At 37.8% G+C, this 26,364-nt stretch overlaps 2 long non-coding RNA genes across 2 annotated transcripts in view; one reads left to right on the top strand and one right to left on the bottom strand.

Moving 5' to 3' along the window:
• Positions 1-26,364, bottom strand: part of LOC105370991 (uncharacterized) — a 152,871-nt gene that overhangs the window by 14,084 nt on the left and 112,423 nt on the right. The window contains exons 7-8 of the long non-coding RNA XR_002957693.2: positions 24,674-24,832; positions 4,879-4,994 (exon numbers count right to left, since the gene is read on the bottom strand). This is a non-coding gene — a long non-coding RNA (uncharacterized LOC105370991). The remainder of the gene's footprint in view (positions 1-4,878; positions 4,995-24,673; positions 24,833-26,364) is intronic.
• On the top strand, positions 7,121-25,105 carry LOC105370990 (uncharacterized). The gene is made up of 5 exons (XR_932646.3): positions 7,121-7,214; positions 9,332-9,472; positions 10,466-10,685; positions 21,855-21,973; positions 24,963-25,105. It is a non-coding gene; the product is annotated as an uncharacterized LOC105370990 (long non-coding RNA).

Here is a 26,364-nt window from a genome sequence, read left to right as displayed (position 1 = left end):
GAGAGGGCTGTTCTTGCCACTAAGACAAACAAATACATGAACACAAAGTTGTAATTTTGGAAGAGCTGGTAGTAGGTTTTTATTTTCTTAGTGACCCATTCCATTTTTACTCTCCTTCTCTCCTAGAAGAAAAGGTGTCTAGCTTCCTTGAAGTCCTTTCTTCGTGATCGAAGCTCCTGCTCTCACTTCCTCCTTCAACTCTCCCTTGTTTCCATGACCTCTGGTCCTCCCTATCAGCTGACAAGCCCTATGCCTGCCTCTTTCATGTACACATTCCCTGTACTGAGGACAGCTCATGTGGCTCTTCAATGCTAGCTACCATGTTTTCCTTTTCACTCTAAGGCTTCTAGCATGACTTGTTTTTCTAAACTCTGCCACATCTCCGTTATCCTCTCGCAACTTAACTCCCTGCATCTGATGTCTACTACCATGACTAATCTAAAATTGTATTTTCTCAAAGTTCCATCCGTGACTTTCTTTTCTTTGGATTCACATCTTAATCTATATTTTCCTTGGTGTACATCCTTGATGTAGGACATGTTTTGATACTGCCATCTTCCTAAATGTTTCTCCTCATAGTCACGTCTATATTCGTCGGCATTTTCCCCTCTGTTCTCTTTCCTTCAGTTAAACACTCTCCAATAGCTACGTAGTTTAAGAAAATGTGTTGTAGCCAAGAACATTCTATTTGTATTTTCTTTGACCTTGCAACCTGAGCTTCTCTAAGCTTTAATTTTCCCATCTATAAAATGGGGTTAATAATCATACAACTGTTGTGAGGTTTAAACAAGGTAATCGTCAGCACAGGGCTTTATACACAGAAGCCATTGAACAATGCTATTTGTCTTGCTGTTATTCTCTTTTTTTCTTTCTTTTTTTTGGCGGGTGGGACAGAATCTTGCTCTATTGCCCAGGCTGGAGTGCAGTGGCGCGATCTTGGCTCACTGCAACATCCACCTCCTGGGTTCAAGCAATTCTCCTGCCTCAGCCTCCCGAGTAGCTGGGATTAGAGGGGCACACCACTACACTCAGCTAATTTTTGCATTTTTAGTAGAGATGGGATTTCACACATTGGCCAGGCTGGTCTTAAACTCCTGATCTCAGGTGATCTGCCTGCCTAGGCCTCCCAAACTGCTGGGTTACAGGCATGAGCCACTGTGCCCGGCCAGTTGTTCTCTTTTTAAAAAATTAGATTATAAAAGAGTGCTTGGGCTTGGAATTTCCTTGCTTGGGATTGGAAACACTTGGCACTCTCATGAAACAATTTTACCCGTTCTTGGGAACAGTGAGACTAATTAGCCAATTATGATAATTTCTTTTAGGCAATATTTACAATATTTCCTGAAAGATACTACAGTTGAATGAATAATATCTAAACATTTATAATTAAATTTCCTTTGCTTAGGGGTCATGGTCACTTGCTCTTTATGTCACCCATCTCCTTGGACAGATGAGAAAGAAGCTTATCTCTCCTTATGCCAAATAAGGTAGTGATATGCTATTGATTTTTTCCCTACAAAACCACAAATAGCAACCTGGCAAACATAATTAAAATTTAGATAAGCCCTCTTTAGGTTAGAATTGATACCTTGTTTGTTCCAAACTCTAAACTTGACTCTCAGCCATAGTCAAGAAATCTCTTTCCGGTGCTCTCAACCATGAAATGAGCAACATCAGCACTGGCTTTTGGGATTAATCAAAAGGTGGAAGATTCAGAGGTTCAGATTGAGTATACTGGAGGCATTAGGGAAAATATCTGGATTTTGGTCAGAATGTTTCTGTTGAGGTGTGGGTTGGGAGAAAGACTGTGAAACCCATTATGAGTTTTGTGTCTTTGAGGTATATAGCTCATTGAAATAAAAATCCTTACTTCAGACTATACTACAAGGCTACAGTAACCAAAACAGCATGGTACTGGTACCAAAACAGAGATATAGACCAATGGAACAGAACAGAGCCCTCAGAAATAATAACACACATCTACAATCATCTGATCTTTGACAAACCTGACAAAAACAAGAAATGGGGAAAGGATTCCCTATTTAACAAATGGTGCTGGGAAAGCTGGCTAGCCATATGTAGAAAGCTGAAACTGGATCCCCTCCTTACACCTTATACAAAAATTAACTCAAGATGGGTTAAAAACTTAAATTTTAGACCTAAAACTATAAAAACCCTAGAAGAAAACCTAGGCAATACCATTCAGGACATAGGCATGGGCAAGGACTTCATGTCTAAAACACCAAAAGCAATGGCAACAAAAGCCAAAATTGACAAATGGGATCTAATTAAACTAAAGAGCTTCTGCACAGCAAAAGAAACTACCATCAGAGTGAACAGGCAACCTATAGAAAGGGAGAAAATTTTTGCAATCTACTCATCTGACAAAGGGCTAATATCCAGAATCTACAAAGAACTCAGACAAATTTACAAGAAAAAAACAAACAACCCCACAAAAAGTGGGCGAAGGATATGAACAGACACTTCTCAAAAGAAGACAGACACTTCTCAAAAGAACAGACACTTCTCATGCAGCCAAAAGACACATGAAAAAATGCTGATCATCACTGGCCATCAGAGAAATGCAAATCAAAACCACAGTGAGATACCATCTCACACCAGTTAGAATGGCGATCATTAAAAACTCAAGAAACAACAGGTGCGGGAGATGATGTGGAGAAACAGGAACACTTTTACACTGTTGGAGGGACTGTAAACTGGTTCAACCATTGTGGAAGACAGTGTGGCAATTCCTCAAGGATCTAGAACTAGAAATACCATTTGACCCAGCCATCCCATTACTGGGTATATACCCAAAGGATTATAAATCATGCTGCTATAAAGACACATGCACATGTATGTTTATTGCAGCACTATTCACAATAGCAAAGACCTGGAACCAACCCAAATGTCCAACAATGATAGACTGGATTAAGAAAATGTGGCACATATACACCATGGAATACTATGCAGCCATAAAAAAGGATGAGTTCATGTCCTTTGTAGGGACATGGATGAAGCTGGAAACCATCATTCTCAGCAAACTATCACGAGGACAAAAAACCAAACATTGCATGTTCTCACTTATAGGTGGGAATTGATCAATGAGAACACTTGGACACAGGAAGGGGGACATCACACACTGGGGCCTGTTGTGGGGCGGGGGGAGGGGGGAGGGATAACACTAGGAGATATACCTAATGTAAATGATGAGTTAATGGGTGTGGCACACCAACATGGCACATGTATACATATGTAACAAACCTGCACATTGTGCACATGTACCCTAGAACTTAAAGTATAATAATAAAAAATAAAATAAATAAAATAAAATAAAATACAAAAGTTGCCTGGGCTTTATAAGGGAGATGTCCCTAAAGAGGTAGACTCAAGCACAAATCCTCAAAGACCTCATTTGTTTCCAACTATCTTCAAATATTGCCTTATTTAGACATCTTCTGAAACTTTTTCTCTAGAAAGGTTGGAGGTTTATCTAGACACAGTTTGCTACAGTGATGATGTCACACGTGTTTCACTGTCTATATGAACTCAACACTCTTGCCCTCTTCCCTTGTTGCAGATGAACCAGCTTCATAAAGAATGCCCCCATTTGTTCAGTCCTCCAGCTCTGAAACCTCACAGTCACCATTAACTCCTTGTTTTCTTTCCTCTAAAGCCCAAACTGTATCAGTCCCCAAATCCTCTTGACATTATCATTGAGATCCTGTTATTTATCTTCGGTTTCTTCTGTCTTTAACTTAATTCAGATCCTTTTGTGTCACTGTATGTCTGGAGAACAATGAAAGCCTCATAACTCTCTTACCTCGCCAATCCATCTTGCAGGAATAATTGTGCTAAGAGATTGCTTTTCATCATCTTTGACCTTTCAAAGACCCTATATTTTTAGAGTGAATACCAGACTGACACTAGAGTCTTCCACCAGCTGGTTCAGACTATCATTGCAAACTCACACCTCTCACAACTCTGGTGCATAAATTCTGTTTTCTATTCAAACTTTTACCAAAACCTGCTTTGTAGACTCTATACAATACACTAAGAAAAACAGCTCTTCTTGTCTCTGCCTTTGAACTATTGCCCCTTCTCCAGAGCCTAATTCAAATTTCATCTTTTCTGTGTGACTGCCCTAATCGTTCAGCCAGATGTTTTTCCTACAATTTTTTAATACTTTCTGTAATAGTCTGTTCTCACACTGCTGAGACTTAGCAATTTGCAAAAGAAAGAGGTTTAATGAACTTACAGTTCCACATGGCTGGGGGAGGCCTCACAATCATGGTGGAAGGCAAAGAGGAGCAAGTCACATCTTACATGGATGGCAGCAGGCAAAGAGAGAGCTTGTGCATGAGAATTCCTCTATAAAAAACCATCAGATCTTGTGGGACTTATTCACTATCTTGAGAACAGCATGGGAAAGACTAGCCCCCATGATTCAATTACCTCCCACTGGGTCCCTCCCACAACGTGGGAATTCAAGATGAGATTTGGGTGGGGACACAGCCAAACCATATCACTTTCTATACTATTAATACATTTTTCAAGCATGTCAGTTTCTTTTCTCCATAGAATCTTTAACTTCCTTGATGATAAGGCCTACATTTTATACCTTTTGCAGTCCCTCCAATGGTCTGGCATAAGGACTTGTGCACAACATTAAAGATATTGTTGATTGATAGCAGTAGAGTAGGTGCTTGCATTCCAAAAGATGACTGAAAGCATTAGAGTAGATGGATAATTACTCACATCAGAAAGAGCCAAGTTTGGAATGTGAAGAGTCATCTACCACTTAATCAGGGTTGTTGCATATGACAGGATAGGTTGTGCACAACTTCAACAACTGTGCATAGCAGCACAACTACTTACCCCAGAGGTCAGAGCTGTAGGTGTTGATACAAACTTGTAAGAGTCCATGAATTGGATGCGTCCTGTGAAATTCATTCTATGCAACTTACAAAATCTGGATGTGTCAGAGTCCTCACCTGTAAGTGAAGAATGCACATAAATGACAACTGTTGCACAACAGTTGTTACCAAACTGTCAAGGGGCATTTTTTTGTGTGCACAAACATCACACTATATAATTTTCTATCCTCAAAATTGTATTTTTCATGGAAAATGGTTCAGCCACTATGGGAACGAGTCTGGCAGTTTTTCAAGAAGCTAAACATAGAATTACCATATGACCTAGCAATTCTGCTTGTAGGTATATATCCAAAAGAACTGAAAACAGATACTCAAATACACATATACACGTGTTCCTGGCAGCACAATTTACAAGAACTAAAAGATGCAAACAACATAGTGTCTATCAATGAATAAATAAACTAATTGTGACATATACATATAATAAGATATTTTTAGCCATAAAAATAAATGAAGTACTGATACATGCTATGATATGGATTAAACTTTGAAACAATATGCTAAGTGGAAGAAGCCAGACCCAGAAGTTCACATATTGTATGGTTCTATTTATATGAAATACTCAAAATAGGCAAATCCATAGAGACAGTAAGCAAATTGGTGTTTTGCAGGGGATAAGGAGGGGGAGGATGGGGAATAATTATTTAGTAGGTACAAGGTGTCTTTTTTGGGTTGATTAAAGATATTTTGGGACTAGATTAAAGGGGTGTTCACATATAATTGTAAGTGTACTAAATGACACCGAATTGTTAACTTTAAAATGGTTAATTTTATGTTATGTGAATTTTGCCTCAATTAGAAACATGGTGCTCCTTATTACTATGCAACATATTCATTATACTCATTGCTTTCTTAGTGTGTTTCCAGCATTACACTGTAAAGAAAAACAGTAAATAAATAAAACACTTTCCCTGCCATCAAAGGTTTTTGAAACCATTTGGGAAATAAGTCCTAATCAAAGCAATTGGATAATGATACAAAACAGACTGTAAAAAGATAGTACCATTAGCATCTGAGATGGGTTTGCTTACCTTAATTCCTCCCCGGGTTTTCCAGGTAGCTTTTGAACCTGGGCCAGTCACTTGGTGTCTCTTAGTTAACAGAAAGAAAAGGCTGAATGTGACAATCTCTAGGATTACTACTGGGTTAAAAAGGATTGGGAGATTTTAAAGGTGACACTGTATGGCAGAGATAATATACGTTATGAGGAACAAATTTCTGGAAAATACATGAGTGGCAATAGTCCCTGGCAAAAACTTTAGAGGGTAGTTGAAAGGGTGGAGGAGGTCGTCTTTAGCCTCCATGCTACATGTATGTGCAGAGAACCTAAAAATATTTTTAATATTGAACTAATATGAGAGATTATATTTTCTGTAAAAAAAAAAGTATATTCTTAAGTTATAGCTAAGTCACTCACAGATTATCTTCTATCCAAGTTATCTAAGGGCACATTCTTCTCCATAAGTGAGACCCAACCATATAAAAATATGGTGTCTATAATAAAATCATTAGCACCCCAATAGAAAACACATTATATTTAATCATAATGACAGTTAAATTTCACCACATATGAAATGAAGTTCTCAATTGTGAATTTTGTCCGGTTTTATCCTCTGGCAGTTTGGATTTAATGAACCAAAGTTGGGATGAGTAAGATTTAGGTGTGGAAGCATGGAAGGATTCCTCTTTCATACTAACTATATATTACCAACCTCAAATCTATCAGTTATTTCATTCTGTATATAAATCACACAAAACAAACTTCTCCCTAAGCAATAATTACACTAACGCCTTAAATAGACATTTTCTCAACATCTCTAGAATAAATGCATTATTTCTAAGGATAGTAAAATGTCTGATGGAAGGCTACCAGGATTGCTGCATGACTTTGCATTCCCCAACACCATGTTACAGAGAAGAGGACCTGGATTTTCTTTTTTCACATTCTTTTATGATACATGAATACTCTTTGAAAAGTGCTCTCCTTATCGCATTTCATCCGCTATGTAAATTGCCAAACTGCAAGTCTGCTTGTCTGAGAGTGTTTTATAAACCACCGTTGTTTATACATGTCACTGATGAGTTTCTCTTTTGTGGCTTGGAATGTTACTTATTCGAAAAAAGTGTTGCTCTCCAACTGAAGTGCCCTCGCTTCTCCTTTCTCCAAGTGGAGTGGGGTGTGACAATGGAAGGGAGGAAGTAGACTGAGCAATTCTTCATCCGGCGAGAGCCACTTCCGGTCAGAACATCAATGACCGCCATTTGAATCAACAAAAGGTAGGAAATATCGCTTTGAGTTTTGGAGAGGATGAATTTTCTTAGTTGCAAAACTTGGAAGGCTGTGATTACCTGTGGCCAGATTGACATACGACCCTCTTCGCACCCTCCCTCCAGAAGCCCCTTCACACACATATCCACTGATAACAAGCCCAGGCAGAGAGGGGACCCTAAACAAATTGTCCCAGCCATTGCCTCTGGCTCCTCAGGTGCTGTGGCTGCAAGTACACCTTTCAGAAAAGCAAGCAGAGATTTGTGTTCCTTTTCACACCTTCTTCAACAATCTTCTGTAGCAGAATATTTGGGAATGGGAACAAGTACAGTAGCAAAAAAAGAAAAAAAAAGAAAAACTGTTTATGAATAATGGAACATTTCAAATCCATCTGGTTTCTGAGACATTTTTTAGTTTCTCACTACAGCCAATTATATAGCATGCTTGAGTGAGAACTGGTTCTATCCTGAGGCTCATTCTGCTCTCAAATTTCTACATTGATAGTTGCTACCAACCTCTGAGGTTGGTAGCCATATGGTAGTCCAATATGGTACTTTATACTCTACTTGTTATACAGTAGGTGATATTCTGGTGAACATAAATCCACATTGTAGTAGGCATCATAAAGGGAGACCCAGGGTGGGGAAGCTGGAGGGCCTTCCCAGATTTTGGCAACATGCAATAGTTTCCCTTTTTAGTTTAAGGATGCTGGGGAATTATTTCCATAGTTTTTCCTTTTGCTGCCTATGTATATCCAGTGTGTCCCTGAGTAAATGACGAGAGCCCATGAGAAAGATAGGGAAAAATATTTTGGTTTTGGGAAAAGGCATTTCGTTCATTCTATTCTTCAAGCATCTTGCATTTCTATAAACTTTTATTATGAAATATTTGAATTTATAAATGCATACGTATATACTATTTTTTTCAATTTGTATGTTTCAACTTGTAATATTTATATGTATTTCAATTTATATATTTCACTATATAAAAGTAGAGCTAATACTATTATTGAACCTTTGTATATGTCCATATATATCTTCAAAAGACCACTGTTGAAAAATAAATTTAATATCATTGCTTCTAAAATTTTATATCAGTAATGCTTTATCATCACTAAATATCCAGTCAATTTACAGAGTAATGAGGACTTTATATTTGCCTATTAAATAAGCTGTTTTCTTGTCATCTAAGGCCTCTCTAGATGACTCACTAGAGACAACTATGATTATCCATTTCTACAGATAAGGGACTGAGGCTCTGAAAATGTAAATACATTGCCCCGACTTGCAAGGTAAACAAGGAACAGAGTGCAGCTCAACCTCAAATCTCTGCCCCTCAAGTCTGTTGCATTAAACTGCTTTGCCGGGAGCTCTCTGGGTATAGCCTTAGCCTTAGAGAGGGAGGGCCATTGTGGAGAGTCCCGTGCAAACACAGAAGTTCCAACAACATTTGGCTGGCTCTATGTCTGTAGAACTGGACCCTCAGGAGGGCTGTGAATATGCACTGAATACACATGATGCATTTATATGCGTGGTGTATGTGGTTGAAGTTTAACCTTGCCACAGTAGACAATGAGGTTTTGCAGTCCTTCTTCAGTGACTGTAGCCTTCTCTGGCTTATTCTCAAGTCCACTCTCTTTTCCTCTTATTTTTGCCACTAAATTACAAATCTTTCAAGGCAGAAATATATTTTAAATGTTAGCGTACTTCTCCCCATTGGCCAGCACGATATGTTATATGTAGAAGTGAGAGGTGAAGCCTGCTGGACTTCCTGGGTGGAGTGGGGACTTGGAGAACTTTTCTGTCTTGCAAGAGGATTGTAAAATCCACCAATCAGCACTCTGTAGCTAGCTAGAGGTTTGTAAAATGCACCAATCAGTGCTCTGTAGAAACACACCAATCAGCGCTTTGTGGCCAGGTAGAGGTTTGTAAAATGGACCAATCAGCACTCTGTAAAATGGACCAATCATGAGGACCTGGGTGGGGACAAATAAGGAAATAAAAGCTGGCCACCCCAGCCAGCAGCAGCAACCCACTTGGGTCCCTTCCATGCTGTGGAAGCTTTGTTCTTTCACTCTTCACTGTAAATCTTGCTGCTGCTCACTCTGGCTCTGTGCCACCTTTAGGAGCTGTAACACTGTGAGGGTCTGGTCAGCTGCTTCATTCTTGAAGTCAGTGAGACCGCAAACCCACCAGAAGGAACCAACTCCGGACACAGAGGGACTAGATAATACTGGCTGAATGAAGGAATATGAACAAGGCCACTTGTAAGTATTGTAAACTTACCATTAACCATTTTAGGTAACATGTATCTAAATTTCATTCCAAACAGCCTATAGTAGATTATGTAATATGTGTAATAGCTCCCCAAGCTAAACTGAACAAGACAGTAAAAATGTAGAATATTTAATACCATATTCCAAGTCACAGTCCAATGAAGGATGGCATATCTGAACAAGTAAGTGATTTTTTTTTTTTTTTTTTTTTTTTTTTGAGACGGAGTCTCTCTCTGTCACCCAGGCTGGAGTGCAGTGGCGGGATCTTGGCTCACTGCAACCTCTGCCTCCCAGGTAGAGGTTCGAGCAATTCTCTTGCTTCAGCCTCCAGAGTAGCTGGGACTACAGGTGCACGCCACCATGCTTGGCTAAGTTTTTGAATTTTTAGTAGAGACGGGATTTCACCGTGTTAGCCAGGATGGTCTCGATCTCCTGACCTCATGATCTGCCCACTCTTGGCCTCCCACCATGCTGGGATTACAGGCATGAGCCACTGCGCCCAGCTTGAATTTTGGATTTTCTGCATGTCTGTACTCTGACCTTAGCACAGAGCATCTCAATCTGCTTTAGCTAACTATGTGGTTTCCCATGGCTGCTTCAACAGGAAGATCTGAGTGGTTTTATGTGTCTGGAGGCTTTCATTTCTCCATTGATTAGTAAATTTTAAGCAGCAGAAAATGATTAACCCACAACTTTATGTATCATTGAACAGTATTTTAATTCAAGTGTATCAAAGAAGTATTCATGTTCTCTAGTTTTTACATTTATATTAGATTTAATGTCTTTCATATTTATGGGGTGCCAGATACTTGTGCAGTTGTGATTTCCCTATTCATTAAAAGGGGTTTATACTGTTTTATTTCAAAACTAAGGACACCGAGATGTGTAAAGATTGATTGGATCAAAGTGGCCTCAGCTGAGTGTGTTGAGCTGGATCTCATACCAGCATCTCTGACATTTTAATTTGTACTCTTCCCTCTTTAGGAATCCCTACTCTTTGGGCTTCTCCAGTAAAGTGGATTCACTAGTATAAGAATGAGAGGCATCTATGTTCTCTAATTTCTAAAGGTGATTTCTATCTTAAAAATAATAATTAGATTGAAGCACCCGGATACCTTCTCAACCATCATCTTACATGTAAAGTTCCTGGTATAGAGCTCAGCACATTGTCATTCTCACAAATGGCAGGCAACTAAAATGATATGTAAGTGCCTATTCCCTTCATTTCCTCATCTTTAGTGGTGGGCAAAAGGAGCTACAAGGGAAAGAGAGAACGGTTTTTCACCTCCTTATTCAACCTTTTAAGCAAGTCGGCCTAGGGATCATATGCTTGCAGGAGAATTGCTATTCCTCTGTGTGCATGAATTTTAGCACAATCCCTCAATGAGCTAGGCTCACCAAGTTTAATTCATTTAACACTCCAATACTAGCAAAATTTGTTAAGATTTTCTTGCTTGGTATTTGTGGAAATTGGTGAGGGGGAAAAAAAAGGAAGAACAAATAGCTCTGGGCAAAACCAGGCATCTGAGAACAGATGGTGTGCAAGCTTCTACCGCTGAGCATAGCTGACAAACCGTAACAGTGACCTGTTCCGACACACAACTACTGGGAGTTTCGTGAGTGAGAATTCCCAGCAAAGCCAAAATCTTCCCGAGTGACCTTGACTTCATTTTGTCATAACACCACTTAGACACATCTTTACTGGTGGCATTATGGGATAACAGCAATGTAAAAGCCCTTTTTAGTGTAAATACTATAGGAAATATGTGGCCCTATCATGCTATAGAGAAGATATAGACATTGATACAATCAATACAGATCTGCAGTGACCTGGGGTATTCGGGCATTAGTCTGATCCCAAAAGGATTTTCACAAGTTTGGGAAAATCACAAGTCCTTAGTGACTGTGTATTCAGCCTCCATCTTTTACCCACCATTGCTCTCTTCCCTGAAAAAGTACAAAATAAGCCAAAAGTAGCAAAAAGAAACCATTTAACTTGGCCAAATAGCTCTTTTAAATCAGGGATGCAATTATTTTTTCCAGTATTCTAATCTGGAAACCTTAAGGTCATTTGTTAGCCAGAATTTCCAATGTATGTTCCATATCCATTTTTGTCCTTTAATCCTAGGGATTATTTCTTTAACTGTCTCTCAAATCTGTGCCTTTCTGTCTTCCTCATTGTCAATCACACTTTTAATTCATACCCACATCATTTCAAACCTGGAATACTGTGACAGCCTCCCATCTGGTCTCTTTGTCCTCCATGTAGTGATCATATCCTGTAGCTGTGAGAACACTTTGAGAAACTTGTCTTCTCGGACTCCGTGTAGGTCCTCAGGGCCTCTGCCGACACCACAAACCCTCTCAGATAATGAGTTGTTACCTTACTTTAGCCAATATATGATATAACCTAGCTATGTCTGTCGTATTAATTTCCACGTATTTTCACATAGCCAAAAATCTTGTGGCTCAGTATCCCTCTACTTCAGTGCCTAAATTCAAAGCCTACCATAGATCAGACTTGTATAGGCACAGTTATTTATTCACTCAACAAATATTTATTGAGTCTGCTCTGTAAAAGGCACTGTGTTCAGTGCAAGGAATGTAGCAACGTACACGACATTGTCCCTTTCCCCATGGAGCTATGTCCTAGTGGGAGGAGACAGCCCATAAATGGATAAGTAAAATACATATACTGTATGATATTATGATAAATGTTGGAGAGGAAAATAGGGCAGGGAAAGCAGATCGAGAACGCCAGTGATCAGTGTGGTGTTGCAATTTGTAAAAGGGGAAGTAAAAGATGAGAAAGAGATGAGAGAGTAAGCCATGGCTGGCATTTGGGTAAAGAAAAGTTTACGCAGAGAGAATATCCATTGCACAGCCTTGAGGTCAAAGCACGTCACATCTTTTAAAAAGTATATTATTATTATAGCAAGAATACCTGGGAAGCTGGAGTGCAGGGAAAGAAAAGGATGACAATAGTAGAGGATATTGTTGGAGAAATGACAGAAGGCCACATCTTGTAGAGCCTTTAGGCCATTTCAAGGACTTAGGCTTTCCTGGAGCGGGCGGAAACCCACCATTACCAGGTTATAAGCAAATATGCAGCATGGGTCATTCAGATGCTGTTATTCCTAGACTGAATGGGAGCAAGGCTCAAAGAAGACAGTTTAGTTAGAATACAATGGGGAAAGTCCAGGTAATGATAATGATAACTTGTCCCAAGGGGGTAGCAAGCAATTACATTCTAGGTATGTTTTAAATATTGAACATAAAGGAATTGACACTGAACTATATGTGAAGTGTGAGAGAAGAGTTCAGAATAGTGGCAAAAACATGTAGAATGGTGGCATTACAGCTTGCTGAGATGGGAGAAGAGGTAAGAGCAGGTATGGGGCAGAAAATTATCAGCAATTTGGCTTTGTGTGTGCAAAGTTTGGTAAACTCACTGGATATCCCAATAAACATGATGAGTAGGCAGCTGGAGGTACAAATACAGAGTCCAGACAGTAGGCTAAAGATTTGTATTTTGAAGTCATTAGCAAATTGCTTTATAATGATTTCTAATTTGTGAATGAGCTGGAAATAAAGGTCATCAGCTGAGAGTGAGAATGGGGAACAGTGGATTGGAAGTTTGAAGAGTTAGAAAGAATCATGAAATAGTGGTCTAGAATGGGTGCAGCACACCAGCATGGCACATGTATACATACGTAACTAACCTGCACATTGTGCACGTGTACCCTAAAACTTAAAGTATAATAATAATTAAAAAAAAAGAAAAAAATAATAATAAAAGCAAGTTGCAGAAATAAAAAAAAAAAAGAAATAGTGGTCTAGGAGAGCAGTGGAGTCAATAGATTAGGGCTGTGATATGATTTCCTGTGGCTGACTTGAGCTGATGATGATGTTTGTCTCTTCTGCATGTGAGTGCAGGCAGAGCTGACTGAGCGTACAATTTAACAACTTCCCTGACTTCTGTCCCAGAAAGCTCCAAAGATTTCTTGAGAATGCACACTCTCGCACGTCTCAAACCCTTTGTGTTTCTCTTTCCTACATACCTTTCATTTCTTGTGTTCTGCTATTTAAATCATAACCAACTTTTAAAGCCATTCTCATGTTATTCCTCTTTTATCAATTTTCTTTCTGACTTCACCTAGTATTTATTTATACCACCTATCATATATCCCAGAATTTTATTTAATAATTAATAGTAGAGTAATAGAGTGAAAAACTTTGGAGTAAAATAATTGGAATTAAATTTTGGCTATGTTACATGTTATCTGAGAGATCTAGGAAAGTCACTTAATGTCTTTAAACTCCAATTTATTCTTTTAAAGAATGAGAACAAATACAAGAATCCTATTTCACAAAGTCCTAAGAATTTAATGAGAAGTGATCTCAAAATAGTTTGTAAATTATACAAGGTTAAATAAATTGAATATTGCATTATTCAATTTTATATTTTCCATAAATTATATTAATAAATTTAGTTTTATTTCCCAAAGTAGATTTTAAGGTCTTTAGCTATAAGGATTTCAGATCTATTTTATCTCCTACTACAACCAGCCTAGTAACTTGTCTTGCACAAAGCAGAAATTTAATAAAATTAAGTTATTAAATAAAACCTTAGTAAAAATAATTCAGTCATTTTAAGAATAAATTAGTAAAAATGAACATACTTTTAATGAAGGATTTTTACCCAGGAAATTCCAGAATTTACAATACAAACAGAATATAACCCACATATAGGTTAAGATTCTTTTAATTTGAGGTGGCCAGATTTAGCAAATAAACAAACAGGATGACCAGTTAAATTTAAATTTCAGGTAAACAAAAACTAATTTTCAGTACATATAATGTTTCATGCAATATTAGGGACATACCTATACTAAGACATTTTTCCTTCTGTTTATCTGGTTTTGAATTTATCTGGGTACTAGGGTTTGAATATTTGTCTTCTCTGAAACTTATGTTGAAATTTAATAGCCATTGTGATGATATTGAGAAGTGGGACTTTTGAGAGGTGTTTAGGTCACAAGCGTCCTTCTCTGGTGAGTAGACTAGTGCCGTGATTATGAGGAGAGTGGGTTTGTTATCATGAGAGTGTGATCATCCCCTCTCTTGCTTTCTCTCTCTCCTGGTCTCTTGCCCTTCTGCCTTCCCCCAAATAAGACATAGCAATAATGCCCGGTTAGATGTTGGCACCTTGATATTTGACTTTCCAGTGTCCGGAACCATGAGCCAGTACATTTCTATTTGTTATAATTGCCCAGGCTCTGGTATTTTGTTTCAGCAGGACAGAACAGACTAAGACATTGGACATACTCTATTTTATTTGGCAACCCTATAAATTTAGTTACAAATTAAAGGAATCCAACTCAAAGTAGCTTAGATCAAAAAAAAGAGTAATTTAATGGACCATTTGTCCCAACTGTTGGCAGGGCAGGGAGTAAAGCAGCCTCTTGGTCAGTGGGGCAGAATGCGCAAATATCATCAGAAGTTTGGCTATTATTAACCTTTGCTTTTCTCTGTATGAGCTTCATTACCTCTGATAGTCTTATTCTGCCAGACACTTTGGGCTCACATTTTTCTAGAGCTGTCATCACACAAAACAAAGACTTTTGAAATAAGTTTAAATCACATAATCCCAGGCAATGTCTAGGTTGATTGACCAGGACCAGGTCACCTGTCCATCCCCCACAGCAATGACTGTAGAGAAGGAAATGTGATCTTCAGATTGGAAAATGTTTCCACAACTAGACCATATCCTCTGATCATGGAGGTAGATGGAGGCATCATTTCAGTTCACGTATCTGTATAAGGAAGGAGAAACTATTTCTCCAAAGCAGGGAGAAAGAGATTTCCCCCCAACAAAAAGAGAAGAGATTCAGAACACAGAAAGTAATACATTCACTATTACTTGAAATGTGAACAAATGGATTTTCTTTTAACATTCTTAAACTGACTTCTTTCCCTCATTTTGACTGACAGCTTCATGGAAGTCTGGGTAATCTCTCCCACTGTGATATGTATGTAGGTACATGGCTCTATATTCTTGTGAGTCCTCACTGAAAACCTTGAATTAATTTTTGGATAGTTTTATACAACTTTAGATTCAAATCTCTCAGTCAAACTGTCCCAAGCTTTTATTCTTTTGCCTTGATAAAGAGCATTCCACATGAAATAAGAGGCCCATGATTCCTAATTTAGTAAGACAGGTTGCAGATCCTTTCTCAAATCTTTGTAACTGGTACTTGATAACTCTGCAAATAAATTCTAGAAAATATATGCAAGTCTAAGTGACCAGTTCATAATTTTATCTCCTGAGGAAGCTGGCCAGGCATTTTAGAATGTAATACATGAATTGCCCAGACTCTAAATTGAAAATGAGCATGTTTTAAACAAGTCCAGTGGAAAAGAATTAACAGTAGAACTAAAAACACCATATGCTTATAACAGGAAAAGTCGCTCAGAGCAATATGCTATAATGATATAATTGAGTAAGGACCCAGTTGCATCAGGACAAAAGCTAAGAAGCAGTGAGTAAGTTAGGCCTGATGACTCATGATGCCTACTTAAATTTATATATCAAAAACAAGGAGACTCTTACTGCCTTTTATTTATATTATAGAACAAAAATATCCCTGGTTGGACTTCTGCTTTTAGTAATAATGTACTAGGCAATTTCGACTGGTGAGGATAACCAGAAAAGTCAGTTATATCTTCTCTTTGAAGATGCAAAATTGCTATCAGGACACTGAAAAGTGGCTAGGCCAGGATAAGGGAGAGGAAAGAGATCCAATGAAGAGGAGCCTGAGATTTGGAATCACTTTTCTCCTGGGGGAAGTTGCCATTCAGAATGGGGTGGCTGAGAGGAGGAGAGATCATCAATGATTATGACCATCCAAGGAGATGAGAGAATCAGAAAACAGAGTCTGGAACTTGGTGAAGGGGGCCCAGATGAACATTCTTGTCTAAGCTGGTCCACAGAAGAATTCACAGCTTAGGAGGAAGAGTAAAGTGGATGTTGACAGGCCCTCATAGAAATTGCAGCTCAGCTTTGAATCTTCCCATCCAACAAATTGGATGAAGAAAATTGTGTTTTGATATTGCCTCCAGTACCTGGTAGAAACAACTGTTAATCATCTCTAAAGGAGGGGACATTATCCTAGCCCTTACACTGTTTCTACAAATAATTTTAAAAACATAGCTTAAAGCACACAACAAAATTTCACCAGCTTATAAAAAAATAAAGTAACATGAAGAAAAGCCAGCAAAAACCTAAAGCATTACACAAAGCTTTCAAGAGCTTGAGGGATTGGAACTATCGAACACAGAATTTAAAATATGCATGCCTACTATATATACCAGGACATGGAACATAACCCACAGGTCAAAGAAAAAGTCAAAATGAGAACTAAAAAGATATCTGAAGCTGGGTGATAATAAAAAAGTATGATATCTAAAAACAATGAAAGACATCTAAAGCCATGCTTAAAGGAACATTTATAGCCTTAAATGCACAGCTTGGTAAATAAGAAAGGCTGAAAAGTAATAAACTAAAAATTCATCTCAGGTTAGAAAGAGAACAAACCAACCCCAAAAGAAGTAGAAAAAATGAAATAATGAATATAAGAGCAAAAATTAATTAAAAATAAATACATCACAGAAAGAATCAACATAGCCAAAAGTTGTTCACTGGGAAAAAAAATAACAAAATTGCTGTATTGTAATGAACTTGCTCAAGAAATATCTGAGAAGGAGCAAGTAACTTATATCAGAGCCATGACTACTAATCCTATGATAAAACGATTCAAGGATAAAAGAGGATAAAGGAAGATATTTTTGACAAAATTTGTGTTAATTTCAAAATTTAGATAAAAAGGCAAATTTCTAAAAAATTTATTTAGCAAAATAAATACAAAAATGAATGGGAACATTGACTAATACCACTACTTTTAGAAAAAAATTGAATCAATAACGTAAAATTCTTGCCTCAAGGAAAACTCTTCTATAAATTAATAATAAGGAAAAGGCAACCAATTAGAAAAATCGACACCAGCCTTTTAATGGGATTTCATAAAAGACTATGTCCATATGATCAAAAACATACAAAAGAGCACTCGATATTATCATGTGTAATAGAAACAAAATTAGAATCACGTATAATAGAAACGAAGTGATACTACTGAATATCTACCAGAATATCTAAATTAAAAGAAGTACAAAAAACAGAAACACTGGCTGTGTGAAGCAATGCAAACACATCCAGGTATGTAAATTGGTTACATCCACTTTGGGAAACTGTTTAACAGTTTTTTCTAACATTGAGGATACGCATCTTGTATGATTTCTCAATTTGATTCCTAGGTATATACCCAGAAAAATGTGTTCAAATATCCACCATGAGACAGTGATATGGTTTAGCTGTGTCCCCACCCAAATCTCATCTTGAATTATAATCCCCATAATCCCCATGGGTTGAGGAAGGGACCGAGAGAGGTGATTGGATCATGGGGGCAGTTTTTCTCATGCTGTTCTTGTGATAGTGAGTGAGTTGTCATGACATCTAATGCTTCTATAAGGCAGTTTTTACTGCTCTTTCTCACACATGTAAGACATGCCTGCTTCCCCTCCCATCATGATTGTTAAGTTTCCTGAGGCCTCCCCAGCAATGTAGAACTGGGAGTCAATTAAACCTCCTTTGTTTATAAATTCCCAGTCTTGGGCAGTATCTTGGGTAGCAGCAGTGTGAGAACAGGATACAGATACAAGAAAGTTCATAGAGGCATCATTTTTAATAAACTTAAACTAAAAGCAACCCAAAAGTTTAAAAATAACAGGATGGGTAAATAATTACAACCCTATAATAATGGAATATACAAAAAGATTAATGAACTACAGTTAACCACAGTAACTTAATGAATCTCTCAAGCACAATGGAGATAAATGAAGCCAGACACAATAAAATATAAAGTTTACATAAAGTTCAAAAGAAGGCAAGACTCAACTGCCATGTTTAAGGATGCGTATGTAGGTGGTCAATGTATTAAGAGAGCAAATAAATAATTTTCTCAAAAGTCAGAAGCGTAGTGATCTTTGGAAGAAGGAATGGTGCTGTGATTGGGAACAGATTTGCTGGAGACAGGGTTTCTGGGAGCATTCTAACTTTTGACACAGTGCGGATTACACATGCATGTGTTGATAATAACTCATTGAACTTTGTGTGTGTCATTGATACTTTTTTGTATGTGTTTTGTATTTACAATAATTAAAGCTTTAAGATAAGGTTAATATATAATATCTTCATGTATGCCATTATTCATATAAATATATAAAATAAGAATACAACAAGGTTTGTCAATCACTTGAAGCTTCTAAATTACTCATCAGATTGCCACAGGATCACAGAGCAGATAGCTAACAATCCTCTCCTCCACCCACACATTCCTAAAGAAAAAGAGCTTTTCTCTTTGCTCTAAATGATAACATTTAGTCTCTCCTATTCTTTTCTTTCTGAAATCTTACTTTGTTAACTCATGTTCTATGAACATGGGATGCCAATTAAAAATTCTTTTTTTTCTGATAGGAGACTTCAAAATATAAGGGGTTGGTGTGCTGTTGAACTCCCAAGTGTCAGAGAGTATGCAAAAAGACGGTCAACATACTTTTCAAAACACAGCAAACTTTATGTGTCACATTTAGACTATGACTTCATGTATGTGCCATTAGCCCAGCTTAAGACATATATTTCTCATGTATTTCTAAACACTGAAATTTGTAGAGACTGAGTTCAGAGGATAATCACCCAACACATATCTCTGGTCCCTTGTCATACAGGTTCTGCATAAGCCAGAGAGACATCTGTTGGGAGGGTTAGATATTTGATGCCTTTTACAATACTCTCAAGTATCACTGTGTAGTAACATGACTGGTTGCACAAGCCATCAATCTTAAACTTTTGAGAAGGATATAAGAACATATATTTTATGACCAATATATGTATCAAATAGCCATACCAACCAACCATCGTGGAAAGATCACAGGATTCAGAAAATACAGGTTCAAATTCTGGCCCTGTCTTCCTACTGCTATGTGATCCAGGACCGTTGTCAGTGTGGGCATCAATTTCCCATCTACATTGACAGTGAACATTATATGAGATAATGCAAGTGTAAGTGACTGTTACTTGTGATAGGGCCTATACAGTAGGTGCTCAATAAATGTTGGTCAAGTATTCACAGAAAATTCCCAAAAAAATAAATAGAAGGCATTGGGGAATATTTTAAAGGAAAGACACAATTTTGGAAAACATATCTTGAGAGATGGTTAATGCTTAACAATAGATTTTATTTTCCTTTGTCAAAGATCCAAAGAGAACTGGAAAGAAAGTATACACTCCTGTGGGATAGAGACCACTCCTCTGAGGTCCCTTCGAGGCTTCTTCCTTCCCTGCCCAGTAGTCAATGCTAATGTTTCACAGGGTACTGAGGCTAGTCCTCTCCTCTTTCAATTACATCTGCTCTCTCCTCACTCATCAGTCCTCCCTGCTAAGTCACCATGTTTACACTGGCCACGTCCACATCTCCATCTTCATCACCGTTGTACCACCTGAGCTCCAAATCCCAGAATCATGGAAGAGATCCTTCCTGTATCAAGTCTGCAGCTCTTTCTCTTTTAAAGGAATATTTTAATGGAGTTTACAATACTTAAATGATGAGTTTTGACAGCACACTTCAGCCTGTGTTATATATATCCGAAAAGCCAGTCAAACGGAGGTCTCCTGGAATGCTTCTCAGGTTTCCCTTGGTGCTCTGAGGGATTCAGTTCACCTGGAGTTATGATTGATTCTGAGCCTCAGGCAGTAAATGAGCAGCTGTCTACATAGACATCTCCTTTAGTTTTTCAGTTATTGCCATGACAGTCTCATGTACTTGCAGTGGAACTGTTATGGGTATAATAGTCCTGTCATACACAAATTTTAATTCATTTAATTTTTAAGGAATTCAGTTTTCTATCAGCAAGAAGGATATAATTGAGTTTCCATGAAGGTGTAATTAAACACAGTGTATCTTGGCCTTGCGGAGATTTAACTCACTTCACACAGATTTGTATTCCAATGCCTTCAAATAATTTCCATCAAAATAATTGGTATTTCCCTGGAAAATAGTAACAGAAAACGTGTTCATCATGTCTTCCCCAATCTTTCAATGACTTAACAGTCCATTACAGAGTTCCAGGCACTAGGTTAGAAACTGAGACTCTCCAAATAAATTAAAAACTCAACTGACTACAAAAGCTCAATCCAGCGTTGTGGTTTGAGGAAGCAGGCAAAAAAGACTAATCTACCTTGTAGATTCAAAGAAACTAACATGATCTATGATATAGATGCTTATCTCCCTTATCTAATTTTTTTGAGAAAACTACTTAGCATGTTTCCTTTTTTCTCCTTTCTCACTCTTCACATCTTTGTAATTTGTCTTGGGCCCCTAAGCACCCCTAAAAATGCTCCAACTAAGTCCACCAATGACTTATTCACTCATTAAAATTATATAGATGCTTTATCAATTCTCACGGTTTACTTTACTTCCTTGAAATGTAACTCTTGCCTTTACGTCTTTCTTGAAATGTTCTTTTTCCTTGGTTTCTGTGGGAATGAATTCTCCCTCTGGGTTTCCTCCTACTTCTCTGGTATTTCTTCTTAGTCCTCTATCAAATCATAATAGTTTTTTTTTCCAACTGGCACAAAATTGTTTCTATTCTGAAAGTAAACACACCATAGAAATATACACCTTCTTAGACATTCCAAATGAATGTTTCATAGGCAACTTAAACTCTACACTGAAACAATCAGACTCCATATTTTCTCCCCGGAACAGGTTCTTTATACTGAGTTCCCTATCAACCAAAGATACCATTGCCTTGAAGTTTCTCAGTACAGAAATTGTGTATTCTTCTTTGTGTTTCTTTGTATCTGGCTCCCATACCCAAGTAGTCAACAGTCTCCGTTTCTTCTGTCTCCTGATAATTGCTGACTCTCTAGACTTTTCTCCATTCCCCTAACCTTTCACTGCATTCAGATCTCCACAATGACTCACCTGTAAGTCTTAACTTCCATTGGCCTGGTAAGAAAATACAAATTCTTAATCCTTTACGTACTGACCTATGCTTAATTATCCAGTCTATTTTTTAATTCTATTCTTACCATTGAATTCTATATTTAAACCAATTTGTTCTACCTGTAGTTTTCCTCAAAAATATGTTCTTCTGACAAGAGAAAGCATTGATTATCGATTTCCTAATGATATAAAATCTTTTTATTTTGCCTTTTCCCTATTTCTGCTTGGGTCATGACCTTAACCCAACAAAGAAGATGCCCTTCTTGCATGGCCGTATATCTTGAGCTTATGGATGATTTATTGCAACTGGCTGTTACTTCTCTCCCTTGAGCTCATGGAGGGTGTCTTGGTCCTGATTATATTTCAAGCTGTAAGTAATACAGTTTCTAAAAGTGTAATAAGTTGTGTTGACTATTGAGTGAATCAAAGAGTATCCAAAATCCCACTGGGAGCACAGAGGAGGGAGCAGTACATGCAGGTTCTGGAATGACTGTTTCATAATGGAAATGACATTAGGACTAGGTCTTACAAGAATATGAACAGTGATACAAAATTATGTGTCTGTTATTGAAGACATACCTTGGTTATGTTTATCCTTGCAACATAAAGTAAAATGCATCTGGTCATTCCAGCCATCCTTCTGATTCAAACTATCCCCTTTCCTGGTATGATATTTAAATTAGATGTTAGTCAACGTTGGCCAATACATGAAACTCACTGATTCTAGCTATGGAAGAAAGTGGCCTAATTCTGAATAGTGTCAACTCTGCAGGCCAATACTTTTGTGAACTGAACAAAGTTAAATGGAAATAACAGATTAAATTAGTATGATTTCAGCTTGTACATTTAATCAGTGTAGGTTAGAGAACAAAGACAGGCCAGGGAGGCAGTGAGGCTCATGGCGGGAGTTTATTGTATCACTGCTGTTCAATTACATGGCTGCTTCCTCCTCCAGTCCCTATGTTATAAAACGGGTGGGCCTGGGGCTGCCTTTGGATTACAGCCCCTTGAAGTGATAAACATGCTGTTTCCCTGAGATTTGCCCCAGGAGATAAACATTTCCGATGGATTTTTCTGACAAAGCCAAGAAAGCTAATAATTGCAATGTCAGGCAAAGAAAAAAAGTGAAAACTAATTCAGTAGGATCCCTTATGAAAGAAGGAAGAAGAGCAAAAGATGTTTCACAACTGGAAGCATGAATTGTCAAAGCTTTTTGAGGATCTTTTGAATAAGCACATCTGCCAGGTTATAAATAATGACAACAGACAGTAATTTGCATGGATTAGGGTTGTTAACATTTATCAATTTCTGCATTTTAAGATACTCCCAAATTCTGGATGAGGAGTGTCTCTTTGTAGTGAAGGATTGATAGTGGGAGTAAAAGAATCTGATGAAATTAAAACTCAGATGAGAGAAAGCAAAGCTGTCCAGATCTAAACGGAGATACCATTAGTAGTTCCCATAAATCAAATCATGTTTATAGTGAGGATACAGTTGAATTGCCATCTGGACTTTTTAACCTCGACATTTATTTCCGAATCATTCCCTAATATTGGAAGTAAACTTAACCCTTGCTTTCATCTCCAGGGTTTGCCTTGATGCCAGTTTTTTTTCTCTTTGAGAGAAATGATCTGATTTTTGATAAGGACAGAATGCCATGTGTGGCATGAAGTTGGAAGAACTAGAGAAATTCCTGTGTAATGTTAAGCTATAAAAGAAAGAAAACATACTTAGCTTTAAACCACATCAGCTGAGAAGAATTTAATGTGAAGTCAGGGGTTGGGGAAAAGCAGGAATTCTATATTTCATCTGCTTAAGATTGGGGCACCTAAATGAAGTTAAAATATATAACTATTTGATTTCTTTCCCCCAAAAAATCCTATGTACCTATAGACAGGTTTGACTACAAATAGAGAGAAATCCACATAGATTTTCAACAACTAAGACTAAAGCTCTCATTGAATGACTAAATAATCAAGTCACATATATCTTGAACCTTTTGGAACTCTTAGTTTTTCTTTTAAAATTTTCTATTAACGATGTTTACAGTGACAAAAAGAAAAAAACCAAACTTCACATATGAAGTCTTTTTTTTTTTTTTTTTTTTTTGAGACAGAGGCTGGAGTGCAGTGGTGCCATCTCAGCTGACTGCAAACTCTGCCTCCTGGGTTCAAGCGATTCTCCTGCCTCAGTCTCCAAAGTCGCTGGGATTACAGGTGCGCACCACCATGCCCAGCTAATTTTTATGTTTTTAGTAGAGACGGGGCTTCACGACGTTGGCCAGGATGGTCTCAAACTCCTCACCTCAAATGATCCACCGTGCCCGGCCCTCTTTTCTGTTTAATCTTTAGACTTTAACAGTTTACAAGGTGGGACTCATCAACTACTTTAGTAATTAGTATAGTGTTAAGCATAAATCAAGTGGCTCAATAGGAAAGAGAACCTTAGGGTAGGTATTGGCAGTGATGGTGATGGGTGAGGGGTGGTGCTGAACAGTGGATGCATTGCTTCCCCTGGACCTGAAGGGACAGACAAGAGGCATGCGGATTCTTCTTGGAACAAATTTGGAACCAAATTATGAGAAGGCATCTTTGACTATTGAGACGTTGTTATTCTATATAATAAAAAGGCATTGCTTTAAGGGAATAGACATTTATGATTGAAGGGAAGTTTGTAAGTTACAAGGCTATAGTGGAAAGGCAGAAGAATACAGGCTTGGGAAACAGAAACACATAGGCTCAAATTTCAGATGTCACTTATTGGTGAAATAAAGTTGAACAAGTTTTTTAAATTCTCCTGGGTCAAAATTAGTATTACCCTTAAACTGAAGATAACAGCATCTAGCTGGAAGTTTTAACATGAAGCCTAAATTAAAAACAGTGCAGGTCATGACTGGATATATGGGTAGGTGATACCTTATGTTCTATATAAAGGAAACATTTAAAAAATGGGTTTTGTATCAAATCATGAGATGATGATTGGGTGGAGCCCAAGCAACATGTGTGAAATTCACATTTGAGAGGCTTAAATAACCCCTGGAAAAACATGAAGAAACAATGAATAAGACAACCTGTGGTTTCAGATGTCAGCCTCAAACTCCAAGTCAGAATAGCCGGCAATCCATAGTGATGGCTCCAACAGGCATTCAAGTGACTTTTCACCCAAGAATGTGCTGTGTTCCAGGGCAGTTAGCAATTTCTCTGATGGTTAATGATCCTCCCTATCAACCCTGGTGGAAGACAGTTAGTTATTCACTGCAACCAAGTGCAGATCATTTCCACTTACTTTACCATCTAACTGTGAAGATTATTAAGGAAAAGGACTTTTTCTTCTTCTCTCTTCTAACATGTTAAACTAAGAACCTTCCCACTGTGAACTACTGGCATCTTACTTTTTGACCCCTTGACAAGAAGAACTGGAGTTACCAAAATGCTGTCATTTAAGGTGTTGGAGTGGAAACCAGAACATTACCTATTATCAAGAAGGGGTTTCTTCTAAGGCATTCAGGTCTGTATAACATTTGTGCAAAAATGACTGGTCCATTTGGAAATGAGTGGTTGGAAAAGAGTCTGGAACTTAATACAGAATTGTGAGTCAGGCTTTAGAAGCAGGTATCTTAGCTCAGGCTGTTTTAGCTCCCAGCTTAGACTTGGAGGCTTATAAACAATAGACATTTATTTCTCACAATTCTCAGGCCAAAAGTCCAAGACCAGGGGGCCAGCATGATCAGGTTCTGGTGAGGGCCCTCTTCTAGGTTACCGACTGCTGACTTATATCTTCACATGGTGGAGAGAGACAGCCCTCTCTGGGGTCCCTTATATAAGAGCACTAATCCCACTCATGAGCCATCATGACAGAGCCCACCTCGTAATACCATCACATTTGTAGAAGGGTGTTGGGATTTCAACATATTAATTTTAGGGGGACAAATATTTAATTAATTGAAGCCCAAAGAAACAATCTTTACAATTGCAGAATCTCTGAAATTAGCCTATCCTTTTCCCCCATGATACAGCTCTGATTTCATTGTTAACATCTTTCTCAGAAGTTCAGCATTTCTAGTGCCAGGAGAACTAAATGTTAACTCTTGAGAAAAAATACATTCCTTCTCCCTGGAATGTGCTCTTTCATCTTGTAATTTTAAAGTGGAATGGGACATTTTTCTTTTCTCATTTTATACGTGAACCGATTCTTTTGTCGATACCAACTGTATCTCGTCAGTGTCATTTATAGTTATTATGAAGAGTGAAATGGAATGAAATTTGATAAAAAATAGAAACCACTTATTAAAGCTACCTAATTGGGGAAAGGTGAGTTTAATCTACTGTTTCATTTTTAAGTTTCTGTTTCCTCTCCTTTTCCTCATAAATAGGAAAAAAAATTGGCACAGAAACTTGGCTCTTGAGATTGTGAAGAAAGTTTATTCTACATGGAACTTGACACACGCTGATCAGGGAATCTCTTTTGTCTGCGGACTTTCTTTAAAAAAGAAGAATTGGTTTCTTAACTGCTTTCAAAGGTTGCCTTGATAAGTTTCTTTGTGTCATTGTATCTTTCATTTTGAGTTGAAGGTTTTTCACCCAACCCTTATTATAGATGACCTAACATTTTGCTCCGGGGCTGATGCCAGAACCCTTTTCCTTTAGTTCCTGGCAAGGTTGCTGCCATTTCCTATCTCACGCCTTCCTGAATTTACCTAAACTGAAGTTCCAGGCTTTTGTTGAAATGCTTTTCTCCCTTCCGCTCTTGTGTACCCTGTGT

Source organism: Homo sapiens, chromosome 15 (genome assembly GCF_000001405.40).
Source record: "Homo sapiens chromosome 15, GRCh38.p14 Primary Assembly".
In the NCBI taxonomy this organism is placed as follows: Eukaryota; Metazoa; Chordata; class Mammalia; order Primates; family Hominidae; genus Homo; species Homo sapiens.
This window is presented reverse-complemented; position numbering and strand designations above follow the sequence as displayed.